Genomic DNA, 18,038 nt, shown 5'->3' on the forward strand with positions numbered 1-18,038 from the left:
AGGATTACAGGTGTGAGCCACTGCACCCAGCCTCTTAATATTCTTTAATGTGGAACAATTCCTCAGTCTTTTAAAATGACCATTCTGACATTGGCCTTTTCGAATGATACAGGTTGGTTATTTCCATAGCATCTTCCTCCATCTGAATTTATCTGATGTCCTTGTGATTAGATTTAGGTTGTATATCCCCAACAACACTTCCTCCTTTTTCCTGCTTTAGAGTTTTTCTTAACAGGCTGATTATTCAGTTATTCTCCAATGGATTGCAAACCTGATTGCACATTAGAACCACTCTGGCAGATTTTCACACAATAGGTGCTGAGGTCCTACCTCAGTAAATCCTGATATAGGTCTGAGGTGGAATCTTAGAATATGTATCTTTCAAAAGCTTCCCAGGTGATTCCGATATATGTATAACCAATGGTAAGCACCACAAGCTTCCCCTCTCAATCAGCATGTCCTGGCTTCTCTTTTGATCTCATTTTGCTTTCCCATTGCCATTCTCTCTCCCCACTGTATCAACTTTCATCTAGGGTAGAACTCGTCTGCCCAGGGAGACCAATGTGGCAGAGAAATACTGTCATGTTAAAGGGCCCATTTCAATGCATGTGTTCTGTTCATGGTTGTATTTTATGTGCATATGATTATACAGTCATCCCTCAGTATGGGGGTGGATTGACTCCAGGACCCTTATGTATAACCAAATCTCCACATACTCAAGTAAAATAGTTGGCCTTGCAAAACCTGCATATACAAAAGTTGGTCCTCTGTATACCTGAGTTACAAATTCCACCAATAATGTATTTTTCATTTGCATTTGGTTGAAAGAAAGTCCCGTATAAATGGACCTGCACAGTTCAAAACCATGTTGTTCAAGGGTTAACTATATGTTCACAAAATAGCAACATGGTCTTTTTGTGCACAAAATGGAAAACAATGCAAATCGCCCATCACTAAAAGAAAATGAAAGAGAATAAAAATCCTTGAGATTTTCAGGCTGGTGGGGTCCAGTGAATTGTAGACCATCTTTATGCTATTGGCACATGGTAGTCCACTTTAACTGGCAAATTAAGAAAACTATAGTCCATGTTAGAATTAGGCTTGAAAGATGTTAATTATAAATTAAGTTCTTTTGAAACGTATCCTCCCCACAATATGTTATTTCCCAAGTGGCCTTTTTTGTAGCATCAGCAGTCTCAGAGTCTGTTTATATAGTATCCATTCACACTAGTCAATCTAGGAGTCGAGATGAAGGATCAGAGGATGGTTTCCTTTCCCCCTCTCCCCCGCTACTTCTTTGCCCTCCTCCCTCCAGGCATTTGCCTCAGTGAAGGGGAATTTTTTCCCATCTTTAGTTCTGGCTACAGAACAGTAGTAGCAGCGGGGTGTCTCCCCTGCATACTTTAAGTGACCCCAATATAGGAGGTTATCCCAGACTTGCAGGGGGTGGAGTTTTCTGCATTTGCAGGGGTGGGGTGTTTTCTGCATTTGCCTCCTCATTTATCTGGAGACTCACACTGGGCTGTGATCTCTTTGAAGGCCAAATAGAAGGAAACACAAAACTGTGAAAGCCCAGACCAGTACCACAATGGCTATTCATGAACTGAGGAAATGCAATCCTTCTCCCAGGCCGGAGCAAGGGTGGGTGGGCAGGGAAAGATTTAGAGATATTTAGCAGTATCAGAACCAGCCAGTAACATTTCTAATGCATGTTCTGCATTTTATCCCTTTCAAAGTATTTTCACATAATATGTTGACTCATCTGGTTTTTAACACCCTGTGAAGAAGGCAAGGTAGGAATGATGAAGCAGGAACAAGGAGAAGCTAGTATTAATAGCTAAAACTATTGAATATTTATCATGTATAGCCAGTGTTCTTGTTTGTTTTTTGTTTGTTTGTTTGTTTTGAAACAGGGTCTCATTCTGTCATCCAGGCTGGAGTGCAGGGGCATGATCACAGCTCACTGCAGCCCTGGCCTCCTGGGCTCAAATGATCCTTCTGCCTTAGCCTCCCCAGTAGCTGGGATCACAGGCACGCACCACCATATCTGGGTAATTTTTAATTTTTTTATTTTTTCTTGCAGAGACAGGGTTTTGCCCTGTTGCCCAGGCTGGTCTCGAACTCCTGGGCTTGAGTGATCTGCTCACCTCGGCCTCCCAAAGTGCTGGGATTATAGGTGTAAACCACTGCATCAGGCCTAGCCAGTATTCGAAAACATTTTACTTAATCAGAATTTAATCCTGTCTTATGAGGCAGAGTGAGTACCCATAACTATCCTTAAGTTAAAGAAGAAATGAGTGGGACTTGAGTAACTAGTAGATATCACCACTGGGATTTAAGCCAGGTTTCTCTGACACAGAGTCCCAGCTTCTGATTTATTAGGTCTAGAATAGGGTCCAAGTGGTTGCATGTCTAATAAGTTCTGGGACTAGGGTCCATACTTGGCGAACAATTGATCAAAGTATTTCCTGACTCATACCATAGACAAGTTTCCTGTTCTATCGATTTTGTCCTTGTGAAGACACGCAATCCACATAATACTATTTATAAAAGTGACAATAACAACAATGGCAGCTAAAATTAATTAAACACTATTTTACTATCATTCAGGCACTACTCTAGGCCTATGATATGTGTTAATTCATTTACTGCTCAGGGTTGGGGGCTAGAAGAGAGAGAGCACCACAGAGTTTTGAGGTCAAGTACCGGCCCAAGTATACAAACTTCCAAAGTCAGACCCCTCACACTGGCAGGTAAGGATGTGAGAAGAGAGAGAGAAAAGGAGAACGGCAGGGAATACTCTGATCCCCAATAGCCAACATAGGACAATCTTGCAGTAGCATTAGAGAGGAGTGATTGCTGGATTTCAAATCATGTCCTCCTTGGCATTTACCTTTATTATCAGGCACACTATGTAAGAGAATATGTGACTAGATGTTTAGGGGAGTGTGTGTGTGTGTGTGTGTGTGTGTGTGTGTGTGTATACTCTTCTTGGTCTGTTATTCCCTAGTCATTTAATCTTGGGCAAGTTCCTTTTTAAGTTTCAGCTGGGTATCTATAAAACAGAGATAGTGGGTGGTGGTGGTGATGATGATGATGATGATAATGATAATGATAATGATAATGATGATACTATGGTAGATTGCTTAATGGTCACAGATTCCTCCCACTCAATATGCACGCTCCTTTACAATGTGACTTTGCAGCTCTTCCCATCAAGAAATGGAATCTATTTCTACACTCCCTGAATCTAGCCTGGTTTGAGAGTTGCTTTGATCAATAGAATATCGCAGAAGTGATGTTGCATGGTTCCAGAGCCTCGGCCTCAAAAGGCTTGTAGCTTCCACCTTTGACTTCTGGTGAGGCTGCCCTAACCCATCATGAAAAGGAAGCTGGTGTAGCCTACTGGCAGATAAGAGGCCATGTGGAGGAGAACCTAGACTCCCCAGCCTACACCCAGCACTGACTGCTAGTCATGCAAGTGAACCCTAACCCTAACCCATCGGTCATCACAAACCAGATGCTGTCTGATAAGGAAAACAATGGACACATAGAGATTTTATTTTTACACAATTCCAAGCAATTAAGTCAAATGATTTTACTCCTTTCTTATACTTTTCTAGGCATCCTCTGTCGAGACAGAGTACCTTTTGAAATTACTTTCAAGGGACAGGCAATTTATATCCCAAGTGACTCATTTTTACTTTTCAAAGTATCTAACCACAGCTGTTTATAATGGACTGGTATAAAGTTAAAGCTCTTGCTAAATCAAATAATAACCTCTCAGGGATGCTCAGTCTAAGGCGTTAGAGTCATGAGAGCTGCAATTGTAGAAACTGTCTTTTGAAAGAGCATAGCTTTTACACATTAGCTTACCAGGACATAGTTAAAACTTTGCTTAAGCTTCAAGAAAAAAACTGGAACATGACAGTTGGATGCATAGTCATTCTGATGCCCTACCTGGGAGCTCATATAAACACTGCAGTGAATCTCACTCTAGAAAAAGGCTACATGATCCAAAGCTGCAAGCCAGGTCTGGGGCTGGATCATGTGAGCTCTGTAACACAGTGCTGGGTTGGCCCACTGGGTATTGTGTTTGCAGAGCTCTGGAACTGGTTGTCCCAGACTCTTGACTGCAGCAGAGCCTAGCTACCCCTTGGACTTCTCTCTGTGTTTCACAATGGTTAAAGCTAGGCAAAAATTGGAGACTGTTCTTTTTGCTAAAAGACAACCCTTTAGTGTTCAAGGCAGATAAATGTTTATAATAGTTTTTATTCAATATTTTTCTTATTTGACACACTTAATTTTTTTTCTCTACTGTTACATATATTTAAGCTATGATATAAATAAAATCTCTTGTAAACTGATGTTAGAATGGAAGTTTTGGCTAGGCACATTCAGCCACAATGAGGAGGTGCTCCTCCAAGAAACATTCATTTTCAAAAGTAAGTGGTGATACTATTCAGCCATGAAAAAGAATGAAATCATGTCTTTCACATCAACATGGATGGAACTGGAGGCCATTATCTTAAGAGAACTAAGTCAGACATAAACACTGAATTTTGTTCTAAGTGAGAGCTAAATAATGTGTACACATGGACATAGAATGTGGATTGGTAGACAATGAAAACTCAGGATGAGGGGGTTGGAAGAGGGTGGATAAAGAGAAATTACTTAGTGGGTACAATGTATGTTATTTGGGTGATAGAAACCCCCAAAACCCTGACTTTGCCACTATGCGATCTATGCATGTAAGAAGATTACTACTGTAATTGTAACTTTAACTAAATTTAAACAAAATTTTTAAAGAAGTTTAGTTTAAAAAAAGTAAGCGGTGAATCTCTCACTCATGTCAGTGGTTGAAAGGGTTTGAGAGCTGGAGATTTAGGGAGAGCACAGTGCCAGCTGATGATGGTATCCTTAAGTCATAACTCTCTTGCTTCCATTTCCTGTCTTCCTTTCCCATTTTCCACGCCCAGATAGATCTGAAACCATAATTATCAGGCTAGGAGAGGTGGGTGAAAAGCTTGGTGGAGAGTGAGAGAATTTGGACATGTTTCCCTTTCCCTGCTTTAAGCCCAAACTGGGTGGGGTGATGGGAGAGGAGAAGCTAACATTTAAGTCAAATTTAGAGTTCACATTATTTCCTGGAGTTGGTATTTTTGTTAATGAACTGAGAGTAAGTATTGAGTTTTAAAGTGATATAGAGTGTCCAGAAAAGTAATGGGGCTTTTCTAACTTCTATTCAGAAGTGAAGGAAGAACTAGGTCACAGGAAAGATTTATAGTAAAGGCGAAGTAGAGACAAAAATAAAGTCCCATGAGTTATTCAATGCACTGGCTATATTTGTTTTATGATCAATAATGAAACATGTGCTCACCAGCCAGGAACCATATGCAATGTGAAATTCTGCACAATGCAAAAGATACCAGAATGCTAAATGGATGTGAAGTCATATGACTTCTATAAATGATTTGGGTTGTTTATTAGGAAAAAGCTGAAGTCTGCCAGTGGAACCTTAGCTTTTTTGATGTGCTATAATTACATGTATTGCCTAAATGGTGGACTAAAACTCTGCAAGGAAAGCAAAACCAAAGAGATGAACACCTGAAGCAGAATCACTATTTGAACAGACTCCTATGATGGTGCCACCCTGCTTCTCAGTCATTTGACTAATGTCACCTGGTGGAGGTGGTTCAAGGGTATTGATGTGGAAGTGGTACGTGACTTTTGTTTATCTTTTAATGTGCTCCTGAATCAATTATAGTGATTCTTGAATCTGCCATTGCTTTAGTCTCTCTCCCTTCCTTTGGAGCATAAATGATTATGACATATACTCAGGGTTGCCTGCAGGGCACTGATTTCAATTTCTATTTTCTGGTTTCAGGACATGTGTAACACCATGAACCCTGACTTTGGTTCAGAAAATATGGCCAACATACAGTTATTCCATGGCAGCCTAATTATCGGCATCTCATAAAGATATAGAAATTTTGAGTCAATTGCAAAGATTTTCATTATGTAAAATGCTTTCCTGTACAATTAGCAGCCAGGACACAGGGTGAGAGTGCCTAATCCCCCTACTGCAGCAGTGGCATTTTTAGCAAAGCAAGTCTTTTCAAGCAATGAGCCTCCTGAGACGTGCACAGACCACACTCCACACACCCCCTCCTTTTACCTCTTCAGTGGTGCTGGAGAAGGGCTGAGTAGTCGACAAAACCCATGATGTGTCTGTAATTCCAGTCATGTGCAGATTGGGATGCTGCCTCTCGCTGCTGTTTTGGCTGTAGTTTTCTGCAGCATTTCTGATGAAGGCCTCTGTGGTATTCCTAATAAGGAATACCAGGCCATCTGGAACTGCATTAAAGGTAGTGAGAATCTGGGGTGGAGCCGTGTTTCTAGTGCTCCTCACCGAAACTTCTGCTCCCAGGCCAGCTGAGGTAAAGAAAAGATAGTTGCAAAGATTATTCTCATGTTTTATGAATTCTTCACATAAAATCAATTTTACTTAGCAAAAGAGGGCCTTTTCAATAATGGGCATGTGGATAAGCTTCAGTTATATGAAAAAGCAAATATACTTTGAGTGTGTGACAATGTTCATTTGTCCTGTCCAATTCACCCATCCTTTATCTATCTATCAATTTTATAACCTGGAAGGAAAGTTGTAGAAACTGTGCTACCAAAGAAAAACCCAGCGCTGTGTAGAAAAGAGAATTAAACCTATTCTATGAGAATTTAGGGGGGGGGTCACTGAATTGGCTTCAGGGGAATCCATGAGTCTCCAAAAACTGTGCAAAATTATATGTATATGTGAATATGTACTTTTCTTCTGTGGGGTACTGTCATAGCTTTTATCAGCTTCTCAAAGCAGGTTTTAAACAAAATACCAGGTTGAGAATCACTGTTAATGACTTGCCTAACTTCACCACAAAGATTGACAGTTCCTTGGAAAGTAATGACACTTCGTTAGCCACAGTGCAAACTGTTTCTAATCCAACTGTATGAGTTACAAATGATGAGACTGTTGTATTTTCTAAGCTATCTATCTTCTGGAAGAACAGAGAATTGACTTATAATTTATGAGCTGGTGGGATTAACTTATAGCTTTGTTTTGCAAGGCTGAATTGCCCATATTAAAAAAAACATACTGGTTCATGAATTAGGTTCACTTAGCCATAATTTTAAAATGTGCTCTCCATCTCCTGGGAATCTTGCTAATGTGCAAATTCTGACGCACTAGAGATGGTCAGAGCCAGCCTTTTTAACAAGCTCTCAGGTGATGCTGATGTTGCTGGTTTTTGGGCTGCACTGTGTAAGCAAGACCCTAGAGCACAAGTGAAGCACTGATAAGTTCTGTAAATTATGGTTTGAGGTGGTATGTTTAGATCTTCCCATCAACTCCATAGTGCACTAGAGTTTTATGGGATAGAAAACCCCACAAAACCTTATACAATCAGATAACTGTGCCTTTGAAGAGTTTCTGGCTAAAAGACTGGGAGAGCGAGGATTTTATTTTTAACTACTCATTTACTGGTTATTTATTCAAACAACTGTTTATTATACAACTACTATGTGCCAGGTGAGGTCTCCTAAATAAGCTATTTATCATCCTATTTTCCCTGATCTGTTCTGCCTTACTTAGCCCTCTTTTGAGTCTCACTCCTTTCCATTCCAATTTCAACTGATTAGTGCATTTCGTATGATAATGGATGTAAAGAGGAGGGCGATGAGGGCACAAAAAGAAGATTAAGCTGGAAAAGGTATTTTTATAATTTATCAAGATATAAATATCAGCAGTTCTTCTGAAAGTTAATAAAATAATCTTGGCTATAAAGCAGTCTTTCCTTGAGATACAAAGGGTTGTGCAAAGTACCCTGAACATAAGGTCGATGGATTTAGCAAATAAAAATACATTCTATCCAGTCAAATAATTTTAGATGAATAGCCAACCAATTTTTAGTATAATTCAGTATATTTAGTGTATCCCACATATACAATAATACAAGGATGATAACATACTATGTATTAGTAATATACTTATACTAAAGATTATTTGTTATTTATCTGATATTCAAATGTAACCGAGTGCTGCGTATATTATCTGGCGATCCTACTTGTACATCTACTAGATCTCGGCTTTGATTGATTTTTGGACATTCCTCTTAGTTTCTGTTTGTTTTTGCCTTTCTGAATCCTGTGCCGCTATTACTGCCTTTGTGCCCAGGTTAGCCACTCCGGACATAGATCAGATTTATTCGTCCTTGGGGTGTTTTCTACATGACAAACTCAATTATACTATTAGCGAGATTCCTTTACAACAAACTCCAGGAAACAATCTTAATTCTGCAGTCTTGCTTAAGTTAGGTGCTTGAACGTTCCCTTAAGTAGACGTTTGTCTATTGTAGGGATGTAAACATTTCTGTATATGCAGATTAGCATTTTGGTTGTTTTGAGCTGTGGTAGATCCTGATCCTCTGAGTTGACTGCTACGTATGACAATTTTAGCTCTTAGACCCTCAAAAAAAATTTAACCGTGGGGTTAGGACAAAAACAAGCTTCTAAATACCTAGCATCTAATTACATGTCTTAGTATGTCAACCTATGCTTACTCTTCTTCACTAAAGAGCTGTTGGTAAGTTTCTATCCTAAGAACTTTTTAAAAAAATTAGTCAGCTTACATAATCCAGTGGATAAAACTGGACTTTCCCAAAAGTAGATAAATTTTCAAAACACTCTTGAAATTTCTCTGCAAATAACATAGGTTATTACCATTGCATGTAGCTTTGGACTATCCTATGGAAAAAATTTCAGTCTTATGTCATTATCTTTAATTAACCTTCTAAATATATTTTTAAAGCATCCCATACCAAGCAAGTTCATTTTCCATTTTAGACCACCACCTTTTTTCCAAAGAAAGAAACTACAGAATATTCAGGTCCAGTACCCTTTCATTTTGTGTCTGTGTTTTTAACTTGTGCTATTTAAGAAGCAAGAAAGAAGATTTAGTCTTAACATTCAACTTCCAAGTTTTGTCAAATTTAAAGCAGTGGTTTGCAAACTTTTGTAGCCATCAGAATCATATTTGGAGCTTGTTAGAATATTGAAGCCTTGGTCCTGCTCCTGGAAACTGCGATTTAGCAGACTTGGTGTGGGACCTGAAACCTGCTATTATAACAAGTTTCTCAGGTGATTCCTAATATACATGTACGTATATGGTTTTAGTCATATACATAATATGAACCAAAAAGAAATTTGAATCATTTCTTATGTGGTTACTGAAGGATTATAAAATGGATGGGAAGAAAGAAAATCCATTATAGAAATATATAAGATGATTAAGTTTTTTTTTTTTTATCTCCTGAACTCTTTGTTGAAACAGGTGCTGTGAAATTTTATTTGAAATAGTAGATCTTTGGATATTTTGTTATCCATGAATTCTTTGGGTGTTCTTAAAAAAGGTATATATGTTTCACAGTTCATGGAATAGCAAGATGTTTTGACAAATGCAAGGAAAACTTCTTATACAATGGAACAATATGTGAAAGCTATTTTTGAAAGCTTTATTGTGTCATTGTTACTACATTGTTTCCCTACTATAACACAATTTCTCCCAGAACACAATTCAAGGTAAGGTCGACCATTCTTGGTCAATCTAAAAAGTTTTAGCATTTAAGTTGCATAAAGCTCTTTTTATAGGGTACTATCACCTTACAAAGTGATTTGTAATGACTGCATAATATCAAGACTATCTTTCAAATTCATTTTTAAAAGAGCAATGTGTATTTTATCTTATAAATTCATCTATGGCTCAGAAATAATAACAGAAATAAAAATTTTTATAAAGATAATATATTGTGTAAGTTTCCCTTCTTTAAATGATACAAATAACTTTTAAGCATGTTGAAAACAAAATAACTTGAATGAAACTCATTTTTGGAATAGAAGATTTTAACTATACTGGTACTTTCTATTCTGTAGGAAGATGCCAAATATAATGTGCCTTTTTAACAGAGAGCAAATCATCTGGAAAAAAGATAACAAATGAAACAGGAGATACTTTAGAAAAGGATGATGTCTATCCATCCATCTATCTATCTATCTATCTATCTATCTATCTATCTATCTATCTATCTATCTATCTATCTATCTATCTATATTCCTGCCTGCCTGCCTGCCTGCCTGCCTGCCTGCCTACCTACCTACCTACCTACCTAATCTATCTAGTTGGCTCTTTGTATCTGCGGGTTCCTCATCGGTGGATTCAACCAATTGCAGATCAAACATATTAGGAAAAAAATGGATGGTTGCATCTGTACTGAACATGTACAGACATTTTTTCCTTGTCATTATTCGCTAAGCAATACAACAACTATTTATATTTACATTTGTTAGGTGTTATTAGTAATCTAGAGATAATTTAAAGTATATAGGAGGATGTGTGTAGGTTATATGTAAACACTACATCTTTTTATATAAGGAATTTGAGCATCCTTGGATTTTGATGTCTGCAGGAGGTGCTGGAACCCATCCCCATGTTACTGAAGGATGACTGTACACACACACATACACACGTGTGTGTGTGTGCATTAAATAAGACTTGACTGGAATAGATGGGAATGATAATGGACTAAATAATTATTGGAAATGGTTAAAAGAATAATTAACATTTCAGAAAATATAATTAGTGAAATAAAGAGTGCACCTAAAATACATATCTAAATTACTTTTAAAAGACCCATGATTAGAAAGAAAGTAAAATTAATAAATGGAAATTGATACAAGACATAGCATAGTAAAACACTAAAGCATAGCACAGGGAATAAATTAGACTAAAAAAATAATTGAAAGGCTAACTAAATCAAAGAAATACATTTCAATAGCCAACTATTACTCAACGATTCTACTATGCATGGCATTATGAAGATGTGCCTGTTTTACCTAACACCCTATGTTTTCTTTAGGAGAAAAGACTGAAATAGTAGGGTGGAAGGAAGGCATGCTGGGTGGAGGAGGAAGAATGGCTCCAAAGTTCAGGGCTATCAGGCTATAGGAGAGAGGTGTTGAACCAGAGACTAAACAGAGTCAGGGAAAGGGGAGCTGGAAAGGGGGTGAATAACTTGGCGTGCGCAGGACTGACTTGTCCATTAGACGCAATAGGCACAGTGATTAGGGCCCATGATAATTTTAGGGCAACACAATGATTTAATTTGTTTGAAAATAAAAAAGAAACTTTAGAGTCAAAGAAAATGTTTTAACTTTTTCATAGATTAGGAAAAATGACAATTTTAGGCTACATGAAAATCTATTATTTTACTTTTCTTTTTTTCAGCAGAGGAAAGGGACCATAGAGGCAAAAGAACCCAGGGCCCATGAAAGTCATACATAGCCCTGTGTGTGCCCTGATAAGTTCAGTGACATGTCACAGGCTGAATATGGTTGGGGAATGCTGGATGCTATACCTGCTATCTTCAATGATCATATAAATCATATATCAATAATCATTGATAACATTATTTTCAGACATTATATTTAAAAATGGTCCACTACAAGGCCCATGTTGTTACAATGATGCAAGAAGAAAAACCCTAAAATGACCGTGACAGCCAATTTAGTACAAGTAGGGTTTGTATACACAAAAGGCACTTTCTGTTTTGTTTTGTTTTTCCCCACAAGCTCTTCGTATTCACAAGTACTTCTGCCGGCCAGTAAAGCCAACAACTTCTACGAAAACTTTTTTCCCAAGGGTGTATATGATTGCTTATCTTTTACAATGTTCACACATTTTATTCCCTCTCCCAAATCACTACAACTAAACAATTACTTTAACCAGCAGTTAAATCGAGCCTGCCAACAATATGGTTTAGTTCATCAGCAAAATCTCTTTTAGGGATTTTACCGGTTCGGCCATATCAGGGACACTTGAAAATTTGCCTACAAATATTTGCCTGCTTTCCAGTGCAGCCCTTGGAATTAAAAAAGAAAATTCCTGCCCTCAGATAAAGGTGAGATTTGAATGAATGAATCTGAATTGAGTGGTAAATAAATGAATAAATGCTGATTGGTTGGCTGACATTCTATATTCAGTGTTACTTTCTTCACAGAATGAAATGTCTGAGTGAAAAATAACAATTTTAGACAATTGACTAGCTTTTTATAAATGTAAGGAGACTTGACATTCCTTCGAAAAGTTATCCAAACCATGGATGGAGTTCTGCACCCTTCACCTGAAAGTTCTGGAATGACATAGGCATGGCCTATCGGCCCATGGATTTGCGTGAATGTTTTTGAAACCAGTTTTGAGTTTATAATGTTTTAATTTCCCCCTGGCAAGGAATATTTGCTTAGATCTAGTAGCAAACCAGTAATTTCCTTTGAGTAAATTTCCCTGTTTCTGTACAGGCCAAGGCATGAGAAATTTTCCCCATCTGATAGATTCATAAAACTTCAATAACTGGGTCACTGTAAGCTTTGTTGTCTGCTTGGGGCCAGTGCTATTTCTTGCTGGAATAGATGCAACTGTAACTTTTTTTTCTTTTACAGATAGGGTCTTGCTGTGTTGCCCAGGCTGGTCTTGAACTCCTGGCATCAAGCAATTCTCCCACCTTGGCCTCCCAGAGTGCTGGGGTTATAGGCATGAGCCACTGTGCCTGGTCAACTGTAACATTTGATTGCTTGGTGAGTTTAAAAATTATACTTGGATTGCACAGAAGACAAAAGCAATAATTTATGATGCCATACACTAACTATTCATGGCATTCCTGAAAGTAGTCCTTAAAGCTTTATTATTCCTTTTTCCTTTACTGTTCTGACAGTAAACACTTTGCACAAAGTTGAAACATTTATTAATTTATTCAGGAAGAAGAAGTGGTTAGTAATAATGGTGCTAGCTAAACTATTAATATGATAAACTCTTGTGTGCCCCCAAAAGACTGTTTAAAAATATGCAACTTTAAAATTACCCTTGAAACATTTTTTTAAAGAATGACTGCGTACTCCTCAGCAAATGTAAAAGAAGAGAAATCACAACAAACTGCCTCTCAGACCACAGTGCAATCAAATTAAAACTCAGCATTAAAAAATTCACTCAAAACCGCACAACTACATGGTAACTAAACAAGCTGCTCCTGAATGACTACTGGGTAAATAACAAAATGAAGGCAGAAATAAAGATGTTCTTTGAAACCAATGAGAACAAAGACACAATGTACAGAATCTCTGGGACACATTTAAAGCAGCGTACAGAGGGAAATTTATAGCACTAAATGCCCACAAGAGAAAGCATGAAAGATCTAAAATTGACAACCTAACATCACAATTAAAAGAACTAGAGAAACAACAGCAAACAAATTCAAAAGCTAGCAGAAGGTAAGAAATAACTAAGATCAGAGCAGAACTGAAAGAGATAGAGACACAAAAAACCCTTCAAAATATCAGTGAATCCAGGAGCTGTTATTTTGAAAACATCAACAAACTACATAAGACTGCTAACAAGACTAATAAAGAAGAAAACAGAGAAGAATCAAATAGATGCAATAAAAAATGATAAAGGGATATCACCACCGATCCCACAGAAATACAAACTACCATCAGAGAATATTATAAACACCTCTATGCAAATAAAACAGAAAATCTAGAAGAAATGGATACATTCCTGGACTCATAATGTGTCCAAGACTAAACCAGGAAGAAGTGGAATCTCTGAATAGACCAATAACAGGTTCTGAAATTGAGGCAATAATTAATAGCCTACCAACCAAAAAAAGTCCAGGACCAGATGGATTCACAGCCGAATTCTACCAGAGGTACAAAGAGGAGCTTGTACCATTCCTTCTGAAACTTTTCCAATCAACAGAAAAAGAGGGAATCCTCATCCTGATACCAAAGCCTGGCAGAGACACAACAAAAAAAGAGAATTTTAGACCAATATCCCTGATGAACATCAATGCAAAAATCCTCAATAAAATACTGGCAAACCGAATCCAGCAGCATATCAAAAAGCTTATCCACCACAACCAAGTCAGCTTCATCCCTGGGATGCAAGGCTGGTTCAACATATGCAAATCAATAAATGTAATCCATCACATAAACAGAACCAACAACAAAAACCACATGATTATCTCAATAGATGCAGAAAAAGCCTTTGACAAAATCCAACAGCCCTTCACGCTAAAAACTCTCAATAAACTAGGTATTGATGGAACAGATCTCAAAATAATAAGAGCTATTTATGATAAACCCACAGCCAATATCATACTGAATGGGCAAAAACTGGAAGCATTCCCTTTGAAAACCGGCATAAGACAAGGATGCCCTCTCTCACCACTCCTATTCGACATAGTGTTGGGAGTTCTGGCCAGGGCAATCAGGCAAGAGAAAGAAATAAAGGGTATTCGATTAGGAAAAGAGGAAATCAAATTGTCCCTGTTTGCAGATGACATGATTGTATATTTAGAAAATCCCATAGTCTCAGCTTTGGGCTGAAATTTTGGATCTCCTTAAGCTGTTAAGCAATTTCAGCAAAGTCTCAGGATACAAAATCAATGTGCAAAAATCACAAGCATTACTACACACCAATAACAGACAGAGAGCCAAGTCATGAATGAACTCCCATTCACAATTGCTACAAAGAGAATAAAATACCTAGGAATCCAACTTACAAGGGATGTGAAGGACCTCTTCAAGGAGAACTACAAACCACTGCTCAACGAAATAAAAGAGGACACAAACACATGGAAGAACATTCCATGCTCATGGATAGGAAGAATCAATATCGTGAAAATGGCCATACTGCCCAAGGTAATTTATAGATTCAATGCCATTCCCATCAAGCTACCAATGACTTTCTTCACAGAATTGGAAAAAACTACTTTAAAGTTCATATGGAACCAAAAAAGAGCCCACATAGCCAAGACAATCCTAAGCAAAAAGAACAAAGCTGGAGGCATCACACTACCTGACTTCAAACCATACTACAAGGCTACAGTAACCAAAACAGCATGGTACTGGTACCAAAACAGAGATATAGACCAATGGAACCGAACAGAGCCCTCAGAAATAATACCGCACATCTACAACCATCTGATCTTTGACAAACCTGACAAAAACAAGCAATGGGGAAAGGATTCCCTATTTAATAAATGGAGCTGGGAAAACTGGCTAGCCATATGTAGAAAGCTGAAACTGGATCCCTTCCTTACACCTTATACAAAAATCAATTCAAGATGGATTAAAGACTTAAATGTTAGACCTAAAACCATAAAAACCCTAGAAGAAAACCTAGGCAATACCATTCAGGACATAGGCATGGGCAAACACCTCATGACTAAAACACCAAAAGCAATGGCAACAAAAGCCAAAATAGACAAATGGGATCTAATTAAACTAAAGAGCTTCTGCACAGCAGAAGAAACTACCATCAGAGTGAACAGGCAACCTACAGAATGGGAGAAAATTTTTGCAATCTACCCATATGACAAAGGGCTAATATCCAGAATCTACAAAGAACTTAAACAAATTTACAAGAAAAAAACAAACAACCCCATCAAAAAGTGGGCAAAGGATATGAACAGACACTTCTAAAAAGAAGACATTTATGCAGCCAACAGACACATGAAAAAATGCTTATCATCACTGGTCATCAGAGAAATGCAAATCAAAACCACAATGAGATACCATCTCTTGCCAGTTAGAATGGCAATCATTAAAAAGTCAGGAAACAACAGATGCTGGAGAGGATGTGGAGAAATTGGAACACTTACACTGTTGGTAGGAGTGTAAACTAGTTCAACCACTGTGGAAGACAGTGTGGTGATTCTTCAAGGATCTAGAACTAGAAATACCATTTGACCCAGTGATTGCATTACTGGGTATATACTCAAAGGATTATAAATCAAGCTACTATAAAGACACATGCACGTGTATATTTATTGTGGCACTATTCACAATAGCAAAGACTTGGAACCAACCCAAATGTCCATCAATGGTAGACTAGATTAAGAAAATGTGGCACATATACACCATGGAATACTATTGCAGCCATAAAAAATGATGAGTTCATGTCATTTGCAGGGACATGGATGAAGCTGGAAACCATCATTCTCAGCAAACTATCACAAGGACAGAAAACCAAACACCGCGTGTACCACTCATAGGTGGAAATTGAACAACGAGAACACTTGGACACAGGGCAGGAGACATCACACACTGGGTCCTGTCGGGGGGTGGGGGACTGGGGGAAGGATAGCACTGGGAGAAATGCCTAGTGTAAATGACGAGTTGATGAGTGCAGCAAACCAACATGGCACACGTATACCTATGTAACAAACCTGCACATTGTGCACATGCACCCTAGAACTTAAAGTATAATTAAAAAAAAAAAAGGAATGAGTGCTTAATGTGACATACTGGCAAGGACATATATTGGAAAGGAAAGTACTTTCTTCTCTCTACATTCTATTGTAATTACCTATTTATTTACTTATCTGATTTCCCCATTACTTTAAGGAATAAGATGTATTTAATGATTTGCAACCTTGGCTGCACATCAGAATCACCTAGGAAGTACTTTAAAAATACAATACCTCATTTAGTCAGCTTAGAGGATAAAGCTCAGGTTTTATACTCTAGTATTAGTTAAAAGCTGCCATGTGAGTCTAATATGCAGCTTGGGTCAAAAATCACTTGTGGAGGGCACCTTAGTACTAGCACAGGGTACCTGAGTGCTAGCACAAGCTCTGGCACATAGTAGGTGTTAAATAAATATTACCTGGAAACTTGAATACAATCATTAATGTGTCTTTTATGAAACAAATATGAAACATGTGGCTTAGATTTTTACCTTCATAGGTCTGCTTTCTTTCATGGAAGAACACACAAAAAAATTCACATCCCATAGATGAACAACACATGTATTTGTGCTGCTGTAGATTATAATACTTAGTTACCAACTTAAACAATGATTTGAAATCACTCATTGCAAACATATGAATGCATTTCGGTTAATTTTTCACAGTAGCTACTCTAGCAAGTCAGTGAGCTCTCATGATATAGGTCTACAAGTATTATTCTTAAACTTTTATCAGGGCTGGGCATGGTGATTCATGCCTGTAATCCCAGTACTTTGGGAGGCTGAGGTGGGAGGATCACTTGAGCCCAGGAGTTGGAGGCTACATTGAGCTATGATCACACCATGGCTCTCCTGCCTGGGCAACAGAGCAAGACTTTGTTTCTAAAAACAAAAACCAAAGAAAAAACAAAAACAAAAAGAAAAAACCCCACAATGGCATATTTAAGATGGAGCAGAAAAATATATCTGTTAGCTTATAATTGTGTTAAAGCAAAAGTATGTGTTATACTTATGTGTACTCAAATATAAGGGTGTTTTTGTACCACAATTGTGCAAATTTTAACTTCTGCTTTTTCTAGAAATTAATTTCTTTCCCCAACACATATTATCAGGCATTTTTTGAATATAGCATTGTTCAGTGGTTAATTGCAAATGGCTTATTCTAGTTACCTTATTTTCGAAGTCTATTACTAGACATATTTGTATGAGGGTCATAGGAGGTAGTTTTTCTATGAATTATCTTTTATCTTGAATAACTCACCACTGAGTCCATATCTACTTTTTTTTAAAGTTCCAACTAAGTAATCTTATGTTAAATAAGGTTTGATTGGGGTTTGGGGATGAATCTCACTTCTTGTGTAAAACAGTAAAAATGGAACAGTTATAATGTTTCTATATTATTTAGGAGAGGCCTTGATAGATGAACCACAGGAAAGGTATTGTACAAATTGGTGCTATATGCTGAATATTTTCTGATAAAGTTGAATTTTTGAGTAGGTTTTTTTCTCATAGGCAGAAATGATATAAGAACAGAAACTATAACTCTCAACTTTTATTGTAGCAAAGCATACCACTTATTGTAGAAAAGCATAACACATTCAAATGGCATCTAGTTAAATGCTTGTTTTAACTTACAGAATGAATGAGTGAGAAAAAATTGTCCAAAGATTACCATGGTGGAAAGACTAATATA

The 18,038-nt window shown here is 37.6% G+C and overlaps 1 protein-coding gene across 5 annotated transcripts in view; it reads right to left on the bottom strand.

Moving 5' to 3' along the window:
- The window catches only part of PTPRB (protein tyrosine phosphatase receptor type B), a 121,560-nt gene that overhangs the window by 100,342 nt on the left and 3,180 nt on the right, over nucleotides 1-18,038 (bottom strand). For all 5 annotated transcript variants that reach the window (XR_944651.2, NM_001330204.2, NM_001109754.4 and 2 more), the window contains exon 3: nucleotides 6,179-6,435. Coding sequence is in view for 4 of the 5 variants with exons in the window: in NM_001330204.2 (NP_001317133.1) it covers nucleotides 6,179-6,435 (257 nt within the window). In the remaining variant the exon portion in view is untranslated. The remainder of the gene's footprint in view (nucleotides 1-6,178; nucleotides 6,436-18,038) is intronic.

Source organism: Homo sapiens, chromosome 12 (genome assembly GCF_000001405.40).
Source record: "Homo sapiens chromosome 12, GRCh38.p14 Primary Assembly".
NCBI lineage: Eukaryota > Metazoa > Chordata > Mammalia > Primates > Hominidae > Homo > Homo sapiens.